Raw genomic sequence first — 18419 nt, 5'->3', positions numbered from 1 at the left:
TTTAATGCTAAAGAGCAGGAACCATTCCCAAGCTATGTAATCACTATGAAGCCAGATCTCTTTTAATATTATGGACAGTACACTAATAGTTTCCATTTTAGAAACTTCAGAATGATAGTGAATAACATTTTAAAAGTGTTTACTCTTCATATCCATTAAAACATACACAACAATTTCCAACTAACTCTTGGCAGCTCATTCACCAATAGAGTTATCTGATTTTTTTTCTGGCATGGTATCAATTCTCCATCAACTCTAACAAACTGCCCCCAAATCACAGCCGTCTTGTGTCAAACACCTGTTAATACTGGCAAGCACCATGGAGTCCATGTCAAAGAGAGCTAAAGAAGATGCCAAAATATCTAAGCTATTTCTACAAAAAGGTGGTAATAATTTTGTATGTGAACATGTTAGATAAAAATCACTGGAATCAGAAACGACTTCAAAGCTTGTATGACAATGACTTGATTCATAGGATACATACAAATGAAACCAAGACTGCTGGTTAGAAGTGCTTTGATCACAATCTATGTGTCTCTACTTTGCCCATTTCCTGAACCTCATCTTGGAAGAAAAAGCAGGATAGTAAGGCATGTAAAAACACATCCAACCTACATTTCTATTCTTCACACTGCTTTGTGCTCTCTGATTTTAAATAAAAATGCAATAGCTGTAGGGTACTGGGATACATTAAAATAATTGTTCTGCTATTACTCAACTGAGCAAAGGATTTTAAATAAGGATAAGCATAAAGTATCTGCCAACAACCATCAGTCAAGGCTGCTAACAGGGCTTTTTTCAATCTTCTAAAGCAGACTAAAAGTTGACTTGCTAGCAAGTTATTAAATAAAAGCAGAGAATCCTACAGATAGATTTGGAAAGACCACAACAAATGCATGAGGTCCATGACTCAACAAGCCCTCAATAAAGAGTTAAATTTAAAAAAAATTGTCTAAGGTCTTCATGACTTCTGTGCTTTACATTTTCTCGATATTTAAGTGGTCACATGGATACTTTAGGTCGTGATTGTTTAATATACAAGATTGAGAAAAATGAGGTCTTCTGGGACAATTCTGTTAAATATGAAAAGAGTAATGTCAAGGGAGTATGGAGATAGTCTCACAGGGATGCAGAATGGAAGCTGCAGAGCAGAATGAAGCAGCTGGGCAGGGAAGGAGGCAAAGGAGAGTCAGAAATGCCAGGAGCCACAGCACATGCCACTGCTCAATGCATCCACACAGATGCTACGCACTCGGTGACCTGGTTATTTCTGAAAGACAGATCAATTCTAAGACAGGATTCCACCCAGTAGTTCTGGGTTTTGTTTGTTATTATTTGTTGATTTGCGTATTTGCTAAAGTGGTGTCCAGAGAAGTGAACATGAACCTGAGTCTGGAGAACCCTGGAAGAGAGAGTTGGCATCTGGGGAACCCATGTTTGATTCTGGTTGTGGGCTTAGGTTCACGAATCCAGATACATGCCTGTCTTCATGTGAAAAGCAGATGCCCTGGGGCCCAGCCCAGCTTCTGGAATTTCCATGAATGCTTAAAACAAACACCAACCAAAAAGGTACTGAAGAGTTTGGTAAAGAATTCCCATCACTACTGTGGAAAGAGTTTCCAACTGTACCCAGAGACCATGTGTAAACCCTAACCCCTGGAAGGAAGTGAGAAGCAGAAAAGAGGGATGCATGGGGAATCCTCAGAGGGTGAAATCTGTCCACTTAAGTATTAAAGAACACATGTGGAGGATGTATCCTGTCCATGTTTTCTTTATTCTTGATTCCACTCAAGTCTTTTTTTTTTTTTTTTTTTTTTGAGATGGAGTCTCACTCTGTCACCCAGGCTGGAGTGCAGTGGTGCCATCTCGACTCACTGCAAGCTCTGCCTCCAGGTTCCATGCCATTCTCCTGCCTCAGCCTCCCAGTAGCTGGGACTACAGGTGCCTGCCACCACACCCGGCTAATTTTTTTTTTCTTTTTGTATTTTTAGTAGAGACGGAGTTTCACTGTGTTAGCAGGGATGGTGTTGATCTCCTGACCTGTGATCCACCCGCTGCGGCCTCCCAAAGTGCTGGGATTACAGGTATGAGCCACCATGCCCTGCCTCAAGCCTTTTTATTCTTTGTCATTGTTACCTGCATCAGGGCAAAGGTGGAAAGGATAGCTCCACAGAGTGTGTGGTGTCAGTTACAGTACATGTAGAGAGTAGGCAGCACGAAGCCAGAGAAGTATCCCCATCTGCCCTGAGCACCAGAGGAGCAGCAAAGCCCAGAATGAAAATGCTCTGTTCAGAGGCATCACACTTCTCAAGACACGGTCCACACCCTTCCACAGTAGGTGCACAATAAAATCTTCTTTAAGTTTAGCTAACAGTTTCTCATGGCAAATAAGCAAAAGAAACATAAATCCTAAAAACCACTTATTTGCCGATTTTAAAAAATAGTTCTACATTTTCTGATGTTCTTTAAATTGTCAAAGTACCTCTTTTGCCACCTATTTTGACCAAAAAAATGCAGTTTTACTTCCATAAATGATTTTTACAAACTGAATATAGCATTTGTCAAAGCAATTGAAACTAAGATTCCAGAAATATCTTTAAAGCATTTAACACACAAATACTTGTGAAGGGTTCTCTCTTTGGTTTGGGATGACAAGCGTTGACCCGGGACACGGACAGCAGATAGGAATGATTACTTACCTCCTAACTGGAATTTTACCATTTGTGTTGGTCATAAATGCCAATTTCATCCAGCTGCAAAACAATAGCAATAACATTGCCTTAATGTTTCTTAGAGGGAGCAGCTTCAATTCTGTTAAGAACTTTAAAAGAAAGTTCATTTAAATCAAGAACATTGGTTCTGAAAATCAGACAATTATGTGCTATAAGATGAATTTAGGGTTGTCAGATTTAGCACATAAATATATAGAGCTCTCAGTTAAACTTGAATTTCAGAAAAACAACAGGTAATTTTCTTTTACTGTAAGTATGCTCCAAACATTCCATAGGATATACTTATACTAAAATATTTTTGTTTCTTATCTAAAATTCATATTTAACTAAGTGTCCTCTATTTTATCTGGCAACCCTAGCTAAATGAGATGACTGGGTGCCTCCATTGAGCAAAACACATTGTTGGTACTTATTTGTGATTGGTCTGCTCGATTATTGCTCTGTAATAATATATTAAGGTGGTGGGAAATGCAACTGCACGGTGACAGCAGCCAGCCTTGTCTTGAGAATTCATGAGGACTCATCACTCCCAGCTCCTAGTGCTGCCAAGTACTGATCACATGGGCGCCTCCTTAATTTCCAGTGGTAAGACTAGTTCATCAACTCAAATTGATGGTGAAAAATTCCTTGCTTTCCCCAGGCTTTTAGGAGACTCAGAACATTTATCTGTACTTTGGAGCTAGGACTTTTCTTAGCTAATGACTCCCATTCTTCCTGTTTCCAATCAATAATGTGCTAACAATTTGCAGAACATGATGATTTAGTAAAGTTTCTGTCTTAAGTTTCGTAGAAGCACCACTAACTACTTTAATAACGGGATGTTTTAGGGATGAAGAGAGTGAGAGAAGACTGAGCAGAAAAAAGAGTTAAACAAAGTTGTGGTTTCAGATGGAGCTTGATTTAGCTTGAACTCATGTGATTTGTGCCAGACTTGGCGGCAAGAGGGATGGCCTTCTGTACCCTGTTGCAGCTCATCATTGGCTGTGGACTTCCTCCTGGAGGAGGGAAGAGTATAATCTTCCAGGAATGGAAGCTCCCCTTCAGCAGAGGGCAATGCTCTGAAGAAGTGGACAGGTCTGAGCCCTTGGTGAGCCCATTCTCATGGCAGATGATGGCTGGGTGAACACCAGCTTCATAAAGGGATCTGGGCAGGATGTTGTTAGATCTCATGTCAGATAGAGATATTTGTGTCACTCAGGTATAAGCAAGCCTTCTAAAAGTTTTTGACCCTTTAGGACTATCAGTGCCTGAAGTCATAACATCAGAATATCCACTGGGTTTCTCTTTAAAAACACATGCCAGGGCAACTGCAGAGGAAAAGAAGAAGCAGCTGCACAACACATAGAAATAGATAAGACTAAATAACTTTCCTCCACTAAAAGGGTGAAAGAAAATTGGAGGGATACCATAACAAGATAAGTAGTATTGAATAAAGAATACTTTCCAATTTCATCTGCATGGTAATTTTGATTCACAGATGAGGACAGTGAGGCACAAGTGTAAGAATTTGCCATGGTGAAGCCGGGATTTATAGCCTAGAGACCACACCTGTAAGCACCTGCCACAATGACCAGAAGATAAGACATGACAGTACCTTTAGGACTAACCTCTTGGCCCATTGCCAAGTGAGTATGATGAATCACACTCTTGGTGCTGGGGCATAATTTTGAGAGATACAGGCTTATCCCTGCAATTTCTCAACATGGTTCCCCTTGGCACCTCACAACTGCCTGCCAATGGCCCTGTGAAGGCAGATGGCCCCCACCTTCACGGATCACTGCTTTTCAAACTGGCTGACATTTGACTTTGGCTAGGATTCCTTTGTGGGTGATTTTCATGTCACCTTGAAAGGTTAACTTGGGTAGGGTTTAAATCTACCACTGTAGTACTCCTCTGGATTTCAGATACTGTAAGCTGGAGTAATTCCTTCTTTCATGGAAAAAATAAATTTGGAAATCACCATTGGATCCTTGATCAAATCTTTAAATAACTGAATCCTACAGAAAAAAATTCAGAGGTAACTTTGGATCCCTGACGGTGTGCTAAACAAGGAGCACTGCACTTGGGGCTGAGGCTTCTTTTTCAGGTGCATTGGCAAGTGCGTCTCTTGGTCACACTCCTCATTTCTCAGTTTTATGCAGCAGAGGATAGAATTACCCCAGCACTCAGCGATGGCTCCAGACATGCAGAGCTGTCTATCAGAAAACTCAATCTGGGGACACAAAAGCCAGTACCCACAACTGACAGCATACAGAGTGACTGAGGTTCCAGTGTCCTTTGACCATCAACTATTCTTTTCATATAGGTTTTGGGCTATGGGTTTATCATGCATGCCTTTCTACGTGGTATGAAGAGTACAGGTGTGTGTTGGTCAACTCCAAGGTCAGGAGCATGGAGGGAAAGGCAAGCAGGAATTTGGAGGAAGGAACCACCTAGCCTTCATCTCTTCATCTGACCATTTGTTTGATAACTGCCAAGAAAAACGAGTAATGCAAACAACACTCACTGTTTCTTGAGGCATGTCATTGGACTGACGTTGTTGGCCCTGAAGTTGTGTATGATTGATCTCAGGCCTTCTACCCATTGCTGAAAGAGAAAGAAAAAATATTCTTGGTGAGCAAATCTGCTGGAGTCAAATAGAGCAGTTTTTATTAGATAGATTGTATCCATTTTGTGTAATAAAAACACAAACTCTTCTTTTGTCCCTTTCCTGTCACACAGCCATCTATATTTTGCAGGCTCATATTTTATTCTTTAATAAACAGCTTTCATTCTTTCCATGAAGACAAATGTGCCATCTATTGTGCCATTAAACTCTGGGCTGCCACAAAGGAATGTTGCCCACTGACTGACTTGTGAAGCTTTCTATTTGCAGCTTGTTTAAATATAAGCCCTTTTTCAGTTGCTGGCAATCTTAATTATTTCCAACCAGCATTATAAAATACATGACATATTTAACTATTTTCACTTTAGAGGATAAATGAATAGGGGTTCATCAATTTTATTGTGTGATCCTTTCAATCTAAGAGTTTGTTACTTATCTTACCTATGTTTTCCAGCAAAGCCTTAAAAAGAAAAACATTCTTTCATTGCCAGGGTGATCAGAGCAAACAGCGATGTGCTCACATAATTTCTGTATAAGGACTTGGACCTCACTTGTAGTTCATACCATCACTCCACTGTTTTACAAGGACAAGTGAAGGGAAATTGTGCATGGCAGTAGAGGAATTTGGGTCTCTAAAAGGGCATTTACTAGAAAAGCTCAGCCCATGAATTAAGGCCAACTCTGCCCTTGGGTCCAAAAACTGATGCCAATGAATGCCATAGAAGAATCATACCCTCGGCAAAACACTTCGTAGCAAATTGACATTTGGGTTAAATAGAACGGTGGCCCACACATAAGCTGATTCCTTACCTTCTTAGGTTTACAGCCTGACTGCTTAGATTTGCGGCTTAGTGCTGAGGAAGGAAAAATATCTTGGAATAGATAGTAATATAGACGTATACTCTATATGCACTGTCTAGTATGGTATCCACTAGACACATATGGCTATTTAAATTTAATAAATATAAAGTTCAGTGTCTCATTTGCACTAATCACATTTTACATGCTTAAACATCAACATGGGGTTGATGGCTCAGACAGTGCAGATAATTTCCATCATCACAGATGGGACTGTTGGACAGCACTGCCCAGTAGAACCAGGTTTTAAAAAGTCAAGCAATTTAATCTCTGTAAGGGCAAAGGTGATGACTGCGTTCTAACAGAGTATGGTTTTGTTTTGTTTTTTGCTGTTTAACCTTTCTTTTAATTTTAATTGTGTTAAAAATGGACATAACATAACATTTATCACCTTCACCATTTTTAAATGAAAAATTCAGTGGCAGTAAGTACATTCATGTTGTTATGCAACCAACATAACCAGCCATCTCCAGAACTCTTTTCATCTTGCAAAACTGAAACTCCATATCCATTAAATAACTCCCCATCTCCCCCTCCTCCCAGCCATTGATAAATATTAATACCATTCTCCTTTCTGTCTCTGTGATTCTGACTATGCTAGGTGCCTCATATAAATGGAACCATACAGAATTTGTCATTTTGTGACTGGCTTTCTTCACTTAGCATAAAGTCCTCAAAGTTCATCCATGCTCTACCATGTGTCGGAATTTCTTCCCTTTTAAAGGCTGAATAATACACTCATCCATTCACCTCTGATGGACTCCCTGTCCATTGTGAATTGCATGTCTGCTATGAATATTGATACACAAATAAGTTACTGCTTTCAATTCTTATTTATGGATAAATAACCAGATGTGGAACTTCTGGATCATATAGTAATTCTATTTTTTAATTTTTAAAGGAAATACCATACTGTTTTTCATCGTGGCCATACCATTTTTCCCCCACCAACAAAGGACTGCAAATGCAACAAGGGAACCCTTTTGCTCAGGGTTCTAATTTGTCTACATCCTCAACAACACTTGATATTTTCTGGGTTTTTTTGTTTGTTTGTTTCTTTTTTTAAGTAGTAGCCAAACTAATGGATGTGAATCTAACAGTTTTTGCTGATCCTGGTCACACCTAACAGTTTTCTGAGGGAAGACTTAGGGGTTATAAGAGGTAAATTTTCTTTTGTGACTAGCAAAAGCAGAGCTGTAAATAGCATCGAAAGCCTCAGCAAGCATCATAGTGGGGTCAGGATTCTGAAGGAAGATGAAGAAATGAAATAGTAGAATTAAAGAAATGCCTCAATTATTTTTCATCAGCAGAACTCACTTCCTCTGTCAGGCTAAATATGGACTATAACTCCCTGCAGACTATCAAATATCCTGTTATTGACCTAACAAACCACAGGCCCACACAGAGTTTCCCAAGAATAGACAGAAAAAGCACAAATAATTGGGTTGGCATTAACTGGGATGCATTTTCTCAACCTGCAGGCTTACTACATGTTCTAAAACACAAAACAAAGTCCATAGTTTCCTAGACAAAAAAAAAAAAAGTGGACAATTTCTGAGACTGTTCACTGGGCTTTTTCTGATCATTCTAATTTAGTTGTTTGTCGAAATAAATTACAGAGATGGTGCACTTTGAAGAGGCTTAAATAACTTTCATTCATCTTTTGAACATACAACGCTGGCAAGGAATCTTGTTTATTGTGATGGAAAGGTCAGTGAGAGTGACCTTTAAGGCCATCACTCCAGTGACAGGGCCCATGCTTTAGTTAGTAGGAAATGCCACCAGCATCCTCAGAAGCCCTAAAGGGAACTGGGAGGGAAGGTTGCTGCCTCTTTCTTCTTGCAATGATGAAAGTGAGGTCAATGGCCTTGCCTAAGGTCACAGAGCAGCTGGTGCAGGGCAGACAGGCAACAAGAGCTCTGTGGTACATTCTTCGTGTTGGGGATTTTTATTTTCACCCAATGGCTTGCCCACACTTCTCTCCTCACGACATGGTAAAGGCCCCTTCTATTATCGTTCAGGTAAAGTACAAGTAACATAACAAGGGCAAAGGACTGCAGGAAAAATATTAATGATTCTTTGTCTTGTTGGGGTTTTTTTAACATAAAGTAGATGAAATGCCAGCAGGTGTCAGTAGAGCCCTGGAGTTTTGTTGGAAAGTTACGCCAGGCGTGAACTAGATGCCTATCAACTTGTTTGACCATTTCCAGACTAACAGAAGCAATAAACCACGAATTGGATTCTTTCTTGAATTGCTGAAAATAAGCTCGTGTGGTAATCATCTACATAGTGTCCAGGAAGCGCATTTTCCAGTCCTTGGAACACAAGTCATTGGCTGGATGGCGACACGCTCCTGAGATGACTTCTGCCACACGGGGCACTTTCCTTCTGGTCCGGCCACCCCAAGCCGAAGCCTGAGCCTGGGTGCTAGGGAACCAGACCACAGGAGGTCGGCTCTGATGTTCGGATCAGCACGGTTTCCCTGTTTCCCTAGCAGCTTGTTAATTGCTACTGTTCTCCCATTTTTTTAACCTTTTCTAACCATTCCTAAGTTAACTTAAAGTGTGTTTCAGCCCTTCTAAGAAGAAGGGGGAAAGAAAGACTCTTCAAGGGACTTGAGGGCTTGTGCTGAATTGTTTGGAGGGCAAGGAGAGAAAGAGAAGCTGCCTCTAATTCTCTCCTGGAGCTTTTGACCTCTCCTCTGGGACTCCTTAAATTTATTTTCACCACCCCAGGCCCTGTCCAACTTCCAGGCATATGTTTAGACCTTGCTCTTACCCATCTATCACCTTTGCCCCGGGAACATTAGGACTGACATAGACAAAAATAATCCCTTTCCCATGAAAATACAAACGTAGAGAGACACAGATACAACAAACACAAACCAAAAATACTATGAACTTACACTGAGCATATATTTTACTTTTTTCTTTTAAAAATATTGGTTAGGGTTTTTCCCCCAGTTTATGAAAACAATATTTAAATATGCTTCATAGGAAAGTGTAAAGCAAAGAAATACACAGTAAGAAGTAAACATCACCCCAAATCTCATGACGTATATTAAGAATTGGCCACCAATAACATTTTGCTTTCGGTATTTCCTTTTTTTGTTGTTTTTTTGAGATGGAGTCTTGCTCTGTCGCCCAGGTTGGAGTGCAGTGGTGGGATCTCGGTTCACTGCAACCTCTACCTCCCAGGTTCAAGCGATTCTCCTTCCTCAGCCTCATGAGTAGATGGGATTGTGGGTGCCCACCACCACTCTCGGCTAATTTTTTTTTTGTACTCTTAGTAGAGAGGGGGTTTGACCATGTCGGCCAGGGTGTGTTGAACTCCTGACCTCAGATGATCTGTCCGCCTTGGCCTCCCAAAGTGCTGGAACTACAGGCGTGAGCCACCGTGCTCAGTCTGCTATTGGCATTTCTAAGCTTTCACTAGGCACAGGCTGGCCCGTCATCCTAAAATAACTAGTCCTATTATTCATCAGGCAGCACTACTTCCAATCTTAGGGTTCCAATCTTATCTCTAGGTTTTGATCCTGAAGAATTATTTTTCGTCTTTAGTCAAAGAAGCATATTGTCAATGGAAAAATGAACAGAGACCCTGTGGCACTCTCCAAGTTTGTGATGTAATTTTCTCCAAAGGGACTCAGTAGCATCCTCCTTCATCTTTTGATGTTTGGCTCTCTGTTTTCACAGAAGAGGCTACTAGTGAAGGTATCTTAATTAAGTTGTTCAAAAGTTAACTAGAGGCTTGTTATTAAAATGTAGTCTGGGGACCAGCAGCATCAGGATCACCTGGGAACTTGTTAAAATGCAAATTATCAGGCCTCCGGCTGAATCAATCTTCAGGATGGGAAATAGGAATCCACGTTTTAATCAGCCTTCCCTGTGATTCTTTTGCACACACACATTTAAGAAGCACTGTTGCAAACCCTTACTACTCAAAGGGCCCCAAGACCAACAGCATCAACATCATCTGGGAGCTTGTTAGGAATGCAGAGTCCCAGGTCTCATCCCAGAACCATGGAATCAGAATCTGCATTTTAGCATGATCCCCAGATGACTGGTGTGCACATTAGAATTTGAGAATCATAGGTCTAAAAGAGCAGCCCCCCTCAACTTGGAGTTCTCCTTCCACTGCCCATATAAGATGTGAGTTTGGTTTTTGTCTTTGTTTGACACACAACAAAATACAATATATGGGTAGCTTATAAGCAACAGAAATTTATTTCTCACAGTTCTGGGGGCTGGAGAATCCAAGATCAAGGCGCCAACAGATTCAGTGGCAGCTTTCTAGTTCATAGGTAGTGCCTTCTAGCTATGTCCTCATGCAGTGGAAAGGGCAAGGGGGCTATCTGGTACCTTTTTAAAATAAGGACACTAATCCTCTTCCTGAGGGCTCCACACTCATGACCTAATCACCTCCCAAAGGCCCCATCCTCTAATGCCATCACCTTAGAGGGTAGGATTTCAGTTTATTAATTTTGGTGGGACACAAGCATTCAGGACACAGCAGTTTCCTAAGGGAGCTGCTGTTTCTGAGAGTGACTACACACAGGATATTCTATCTCATAGTGATAGCCCTGGGAAGAGCCCCATGGTTCTAGACCCACTCTTGGTTTTTGTCATGTCCCACCCCACCTGGGCTGAACAAATGTGTTCACTAGAATGGAAACTCTGACCTTTTTAGGGGATTGAAGTTCACATTTCTTGTATGTGGAAGCAAGAGGATGCAAGATGCTATAGGCAGCAGCTTTCATCTTCCCTATATCTGAGCTGTGAGAATAATCAATGACGGGGCCATCTGAAATATTTAAAACATGGGAACTTCTTGGTATCGACAACTCACAAATCTAGATCAATTAATTTTGTTGTTTTCTTGTTTTACTTTTCTATTTGTTTTGAGACAGGGTTTTGTTCTGTTGCCCAGGCTGGAGTGCAGTGGCCACAATCAAGGCTCACTGCTGCCTTGACCTCCCTGGGTCCAGATGATTTTCCCACCTCAGCCTCCCAGAAGCTGAGACCACAAGTGTGAGCCACCACACCCAGCCAATTTTGGTATTTTTTGCAGAGATGGGGTCTGGCCATGTTGCCCAGGTTGGTCTCAAACTCCTGGGCTCAAGCTATGTATCTGCTTCGGCCTCCTAAAGTGCTGGGATTACAGGCATGAGCCACTGCACCTGGCCCATTTTTGTTTAAGTGAATGGAGATAAGAAAAAGTTGGCATTTTTCAAGTAGCTACTTTCAAGGTGCCTAAATTGCTCTATCCATCAGTTTTAATCTGCTCAAATAATATGTCAGGAATGTATATAATTTGAAATATAGTTTTTGACTCCTTGGCACTGTGAATTCTGTTAAGACCTAAAGGGCATTCAAGAGAAATAAGACACATTTCCATGCACTTGGAGCAAACTATGAAGCTTTTCAAATAAAGATTGCCACAGGATCTAATCTTGTCTAAGATAGAATTCCTTATAAGGTGCTTAGATGTAAAACTGCAACATTTCACAAATCTACAGATGAAGGCTATTCAGTGCAGGAACTACACCTTCATCTTAAGCTAGAAATTTAGTTTCATGAAGGCATTTGAGTTTTAGCTTGCCATGAAATATAGCCAGTGCCTCAGATTCTAAAATAAATAGGGACTGTAGATAAATCACCACCAACATGTTTCCTCTTATGAGTCTATAAAAACATGGCAAAATTGACAAATGGGATCTAATTAAACTAAAGAGCTTCTGCACAGCAAAAGAAACTACCATCAGAGTGAACAGGCAACCTACAAAATGGGAGAAAATTTTCGCAACCTACTCATCTGACAAAGGGCTAATATCCAGAATCTACAATGAACTCAAACAAATTTACAAGAAAAAAACAACCCCATCAAAAAGTGGGCAAAGGATATGAACAAACACTTCTCAAAAGAAGACATTTATGCAGCCAAAAGACACATGAAAAAATGTTCATCATCACTGGCCATCAGAGAAATGCAAATCAAAACCACAATGAGATACCATCTCACACCAGTTAGAATGGCAATCATTAAACAGTCAGGAAACAACAGGTGCTGGAGAGGATGTGGAGGGGTGGGAACACTTTTGCACTGTTGGTGGGACTGTGGACTAGTTCAACCATTGTGGAAGTCAGTGTGGTGATTCCTCAGGGATCTAGAACTAGAAATACCATTTGACCCAGCCATCCCATTACTGGGTATATACCCAAAGGACTATAAATCATGCTGCTATAAAGACACATGCACACATATGTTTATTGCGGCACTATTCACAATAGCAAAGACTTGGAACCAACCCAAATGTCCAACAATGATAGACTGGATTAAGAAAATGTGGCACATATACACCATGGAATACTATGCAGCCATAAAAAATGATGAGTTCATGTCCTTTGTAGGGACATGGATGAAATTGGAAATCATCATTCTCAGTAAACTATCACAAGGACAAAAAAAACCAAACACCGAATGTTCTCACTCATAGATGGGAATTGAACAATGAGAACACATGGACACAGGAAGGGGGACATCACACTCTGGGGACTGTTGTGGGGTCAGGGGATGGGGGAGGGACAGCATTAGGAGATATACCTAATGCTAAATGACGAGTTAATGGGTGCAGCACACCAGCATGGTACATGTATACATATGTAACTAACCTGCACATTGTGCACATGTACCCTAAAACGTGAAGTATAATAATAATAATAATACAAAATATAAAAAATAAAAAAATTTTAAAAAGCATGGCAAATGAAATCATTTCATTTGAATTAGGAGAAGGTTTAGTTGGCATTAAATTGTCAGTATTTAACTTTGAGGGCAGGCTAAAGGGAAGACATTTCCAGCTAGTACACTGTTAAAAGAACTATGCGGATAGCACTTAGAGAGACTAGACTGGTAGTTCCCAGCACCTGTGGTACATTAGAATCACCTGGGGGAATTATAAGACATTTCAGAAGCCTGGGTCTCACCCTAGAGATTCTAACTAATAATTAGAATGTACTTGGGCTGTCTTTCAATCTGCTTTTTTAAACACTGCAGGTAACTCTAACGTGAACCTATAGTTGAGGACAATTGAACTAGATGATGTGAACTAAATTTGGTTTGGGCAGGTGTTTCTCAAACTTTAATGTGCATTTGGATCACCTGGGGGCATTTGTGAACCACAGAGTTGGATTTAGTAAGCCTGGCATCTGCACTGAGATTCTGCATTTCTAACAAGCTTCCAACAGATACCAGGCAGGCATTTGGGCTTGCCAGATTCCTGTGCCCTAGGCTCACAAGGATACCAGGGCTTGTACCTTATTTCTACACAAATTGCATATCTTGAATACCATGAAGAACTCCACCAAAGAAAAGGTAGTTCCAGTCTGCATTATGCCAGAGGTTCTCAAGTGTGGTTCCCTTGATCAGCGGGTTGAGCATCTCATAGGAATTTACCGGAAGTGCCCATTCTCAGGCCCTATCCCAAATCTACAGAATCAGCAACTTGGGGGCAGGGCCCAGTAATCTGCATTTTAACAAGCCTCCAGGTGTCTATCATGTAGAAACCACTCCAGGAGGCTAGTATCAGAGCACCTGGTGCTAATGAGAGAGAAAATTAACTGAAGGGGGTGTGTAGGTGGCCACTGGAGGGTAGGCTTGTTTTATTTTATTTTGAATTAATTTTATTGAGCTATAATTTATATATAATGATTGATCTTTAAGCTTTGATTCAAATTTTTCAAACGCTAACTAACTACCTTTAGGGTGAGCATTTAAAATTTTAAATTCTCATTCCCTGGTTTTGGATGAAAATTCACACACACCCCACTGCATGTGTTGAAGTATTTGAAAGAAAGTTACAGGCAACATAAAAGCAATGCAGGCAGCTGCAGGGAGGTTGGGTAAGAGGATATTTCACAGCCACAGGAAATTCAGGAGCTGGTGATTTCCAGGATCTCATCAGGCAGCAGGGAGCTGGCCCAGAGGAAGACTGTTGGAAGTTACAGCTCCTCCTGCTTGAGATAGTTCTGGTCTGGAAGATCTGGGCTTCTTGGGATAACTCTTACCAGATGATTCAGTACAGAAACCAGACACAGGTCTACTTTTTAGAATTGGGGTACATGATCAGAACATGACTTGGGCCAGTACAGAAACCAGACAGAGGTCTACTTCTTAAAATTGGGGTATATCAGAACATGACTTGGGCCACCAACTGTCCAGTCCAGACCTAAGGACCAAGGCCAGAGCCAGCAGAGCAGCAGGAGGAGCCAGAGGCTAAGGGCCAGCGTTCCCAAAGCCTGAGTCCCCATTCCCACAGCATTTGGTCCAGGTCTGAGGCCTGGGAATTATAAAACCCCAGTGGCAGAGGTGGAGAGTGGAGAAGCTGATGGTACAGGCAGGACTTGACAAATGAACATTTTATCTTTCAAAGGTATTCATCTAGGACACTAAATCCAGCCTAAAATTAAAAAGGAACAAAACCACTAATGTTTGTTTGTATAACAGACCAACTTCTAAATCATGTTAAGAAGTAAAAATTAAACAAGTTCTCTCTTTCATGTCAGCTGATTTCTCCTGGCTCCACCAAGGACAGACAAGTGCAGGTACTAAGTGTTAGTGTCACAAGATATCAATGTCAGTGTTGGAAACGCCCACATGCCCATGGGACAAGAGGGCAATTCACCATGAACTGTTGCTGCAAGAAAGATGAGTGCAAGAAAAAAGACAGTGAAGACTTTCCTGCATAATAAAGGAGCTAAGCTGCCATCCTACACAAGTCCAGTTGATAAACCCAGGATAGAAAGCTACATCAGTGAGCCTGTGATAATGACTGACAGCAACCTACTTCTGAAACTGGTGGCTAAAAAGCAACAGGACTTTTGCCCCCACAAAAATTAAAAAGACAACCCAACATTAATTTCAAAAGCCCTTGGGAAGTCAATAATAATCCTCATAAAGTTTTCAAATTCTAAAAGAGAAGAATTGAAAGGGGGAAAAAGAGAGCAACTGGGGCCTCTTTTTCTTGACAGTCTGAAGCTACAGAGTAAAATTGATGAAAGTGAAAGAAGAAATATATTAAGTGTCATATGATTTTTAAATCACCCTCAGAGCATGCTGAATGAGTATGTGAGCAAAAAAGAAGCTGCCATCTATTAGCATGGGAGGCTGTATTTGAAAGATAGAACTGAATGGGTGAGGATAATATTTATACATTCCTAGACAAAATTAAATCATATGATTCTTAAATTACCCTCAGAGCATGGTGAATGAGTATTTGTGCAAGAAATAAGCTGCCATCTATGAGTATGGGTGGCTATGTTTGAAAGAGATAATTGAATGGGTGAGGATAATATTTATACATTCCTAGACAAAATTAATTTAGTCACTCCCAGAGAGTCAAAACAGTCTATCAGCCTTGCTGGTTATCTTGACAACACTGGCCAGTTAGGTCAAAAAGAGCCTCTAAATAGTCACAAGAAAAAAGAGGACACCTGTGCTGTTCAGAAGCTGCAGTCCCAAACTTCCATACCAAATGGCTTTGTTAGCATTCCTTAGACACAATTTTTGCATTGCCTAAGCCTGATTCTATATATTAATAGATACCCTGTAGCAATGTCCTATTGGATCTATAGAATCTTGTCACAAATAACTGCATCTATTTCCAAATATCTACTACAATAAATATACTGTTATGGACACAAAAGATCAGGAGGGAAAAATGTATACATAGAGTATACTTACATTAATGCCTATATTCACTTGTGCTTCTGATTTAGATATACAACACATGATGTTCTTTAGTGCCTGAAAGTCCACAGACCAACTACATTCCTACATCCCCAGAAATCTTTCAAAAATAAAATAAGATTTTTGGTTTATTTTATGTAACATTATTTGGCATCCAAATGGAAAGCTCTAGAAGAATGGAGGGATTTTAAAATGTTGAGAAAACCAAAAGCATCATCTTAAGCCAGTCAGCAACCATCAGTTTTTTGACAGCATTACTTTTGGACTCAACTCAGTCAAATTTGTGAAATTCTGTTGGTATGGGATGAGTAAACAGCTGGTGAATTAAAAGGTGTTCATAGAGTTGTTTCTTTAGTTGATGGCCTGTATTTATCGGTCACATTCTTCCTGACAGGTACCTGTTGACAATGTTGGCAAATTAAGTCATGCCAAAGTAAATAGTATTTCAACTTGATGACAATCATACCTGCTTAGTCTGAGATCAATATAATCAATCAAGAAGCCTTTGTCTAACTCTTAACTAGGCAGCATCCACCAATTTAGTTCAAGCAAATCAAATCTATAGGTAATTCTATAAACTAAATAGGACTTTCAATATAAGAGCTACTAAAAGGAATCTAAATCGGTGGGCTTGAGTTTCATTACCTGGTTCTCTGTCTTTTAAGGTAAAGTCTCCCCACACACAGCAGAAAACAGTGAGGAGTGAAGACAAGTGGAAGTGGAAAAACAGGGAAAATAAATAGAATATTTATGGTAAATATGAATAAATGAATCCTTAGATTACATCATTGTTTTGATACTTCTAGAAAAATATTGAGCTGAATAATGCCTCTATGATATAATTTACTGACTTTTATTCAGTGCCACACTGGTTCTGAAAGATGTTAATGGTGTCTCATCAAAAAATTAAAAAAAAAGTTTAGGAAACAGCTGAATAGCTTTCTTCCTTGCTGAGATCCACATAAGAATAATACTTCTTCTGTTGATGGGTGCAGCACACCAACATGGCACATGTATACATATGTAACTAACCTGCACGTTGTGCATATGTACCCTAAAACTTAAAAAAAAAGAGTAAAGCACTAAGACTCAAATATATCTGAGACCCAGCTCCTCCAAAAAAAAAAAAAAGAAATACTTCTTCTGAAAGCACTACCATAAAGAAACCTGTCTAAAGGCTTTCTCATGCTTAGCTGACCAAAGAACCCCCTTTATATGTGGACTTTTTTAAGGAATCCTTTTTTCAGGCCACTAATTCGGGAAGTACTACTGTATGACTATAGCTCCCACAGATAATGATCTTAAAACATTTGCCTAAAAAGTACATTAACATCACACAGTGTTACAGGTGAAAGAGGCTGTTCCCCCCACTCCCTGCCCCAGTTTTTATACAGATAAGCTAAATCAGCCAACTGGCTGTGCACGGTGGCTCACGCCTGTAACCCAACACTTTGGGAGGCCGAGGTGGGTGGATCACTTGAGGCCAGGAGTTTGAGACCAGCCTGGTCAACATGGTGAAACCCGGTCTCTACTAAAAATACAATAATTAGCTGGGCGTGGTGGCATGCACCTGTAATCCCAGGTACTTGGGAGGCCAAGGCACAAGAATAACTTGAACCCGGGAGGCAGAGGTTGTGGTGAGCTGAGAACACACCACTGTATTACAGCCTTGGGGGACAGAGTGAGACTCTGCCTCAGAAAAAAAAAGAGAAAAAGAAAAAGAAGCCAACTGTGAATTGCAGCACAGGGTGGTGGTAGAATTCAGGATCTAGAGCACTAGAGAGAGCCACTGCCTGGGCTCAAAACACCACTTACTGGACGTATGGCCTTGAAAAGTCAAGTTACTCAACCTCTCTGGGCATCTTTATTTGTAAAATGAGGATAATCATAATACCTATCCCACAGACTTGTGAGAGTTAAATGAGATAATACATATCAAGCACTTTGAACAGTGTCTGACATACAATATAAACTATTTTCCTGCTGCTGCTGCTACTATTATTAGTATTATTATTAGAGACCAGCAAATCTTTTCCATTAAGAGCCAGATAATAAATATTTTAGGCTTCAGGGGCACACATAGTTCCATGTTGTCTAGTTTTCCTGTTTTTTTTTTAAATTTATTTTTTAAACATCGCTTCAAAAATGTAAAAGCCATTCTTAGTTCACAGGACATACAAAATTAGGCTAAGGGTTGTGTTCAGCCCATGGCCTGCACCTGCCGACCCCAGATTATGATCATTAAATTACTGGCTCCAGATCATAGAGCTTGGAGGCAACAAAGTCTCATGTAATACAAGGGATTCTGCCCACTTCTTCATGCCATCCAGTTTTTAATTTTGCCACACAGATGAGAAAACATACAAATACATGTAGGCCCATGTCAGCATACATTATGTTTCCAATGGCAATTTTTTGCTGGCACTGGAAACTGGGGCTATGTGGAAAATGGAAAAGCAATTTAAAGTCAGTGACAT

The 18419-nt window shown here is 40.4% G+C and overlaps 1 protein-coding gene across 17 annotated transcripts in view; it reads right to left on the bottom strand.

Annotated features, from left to right (window-relative positions):
* The window catches only part of PLCB4 (phospholipase C beta 4), a 412131-nt gene that overhangs the window by 112595 nt on the left and 281117 nt on the right, over nt 1-18419 (bottom strand). For all 17 annotated transcript variants that reach the window (XM_024451898.2, NM_001377134.2, XM_005260724.3 and 14 more), the window contains 2 exons: nt 5239-5318; nt 2700-2753 (listed from right to left, as the gene is read on the bottom strand). In XM_024451898.2, coding sequence (XP_024307666.1) covers nt 2700-2753; nt 5239-5318 — 134 coding nt within the window. The remainder of the gene's footprint in view (nt 1-2699; nt 2754-5238; nt 5319-18419) is intronic.

This window comes from Homo sapiens, chromosome 20 (genome assembly GCF_000001405.40).
Source record: "Homo sapiens chromosome 20, GRCh38.p14 Primary Assembly".
NCBI classification, from domain to species: Eukaryota; Metazoa; Chordata; class Mammalia; order Primates; family Hominidae; genus Homo; species Homo sapiens.
Note: the sequence above shows the minus strand (reverse complement) of the source record. Positions and strands in the feature narration are given on the sequence as shown.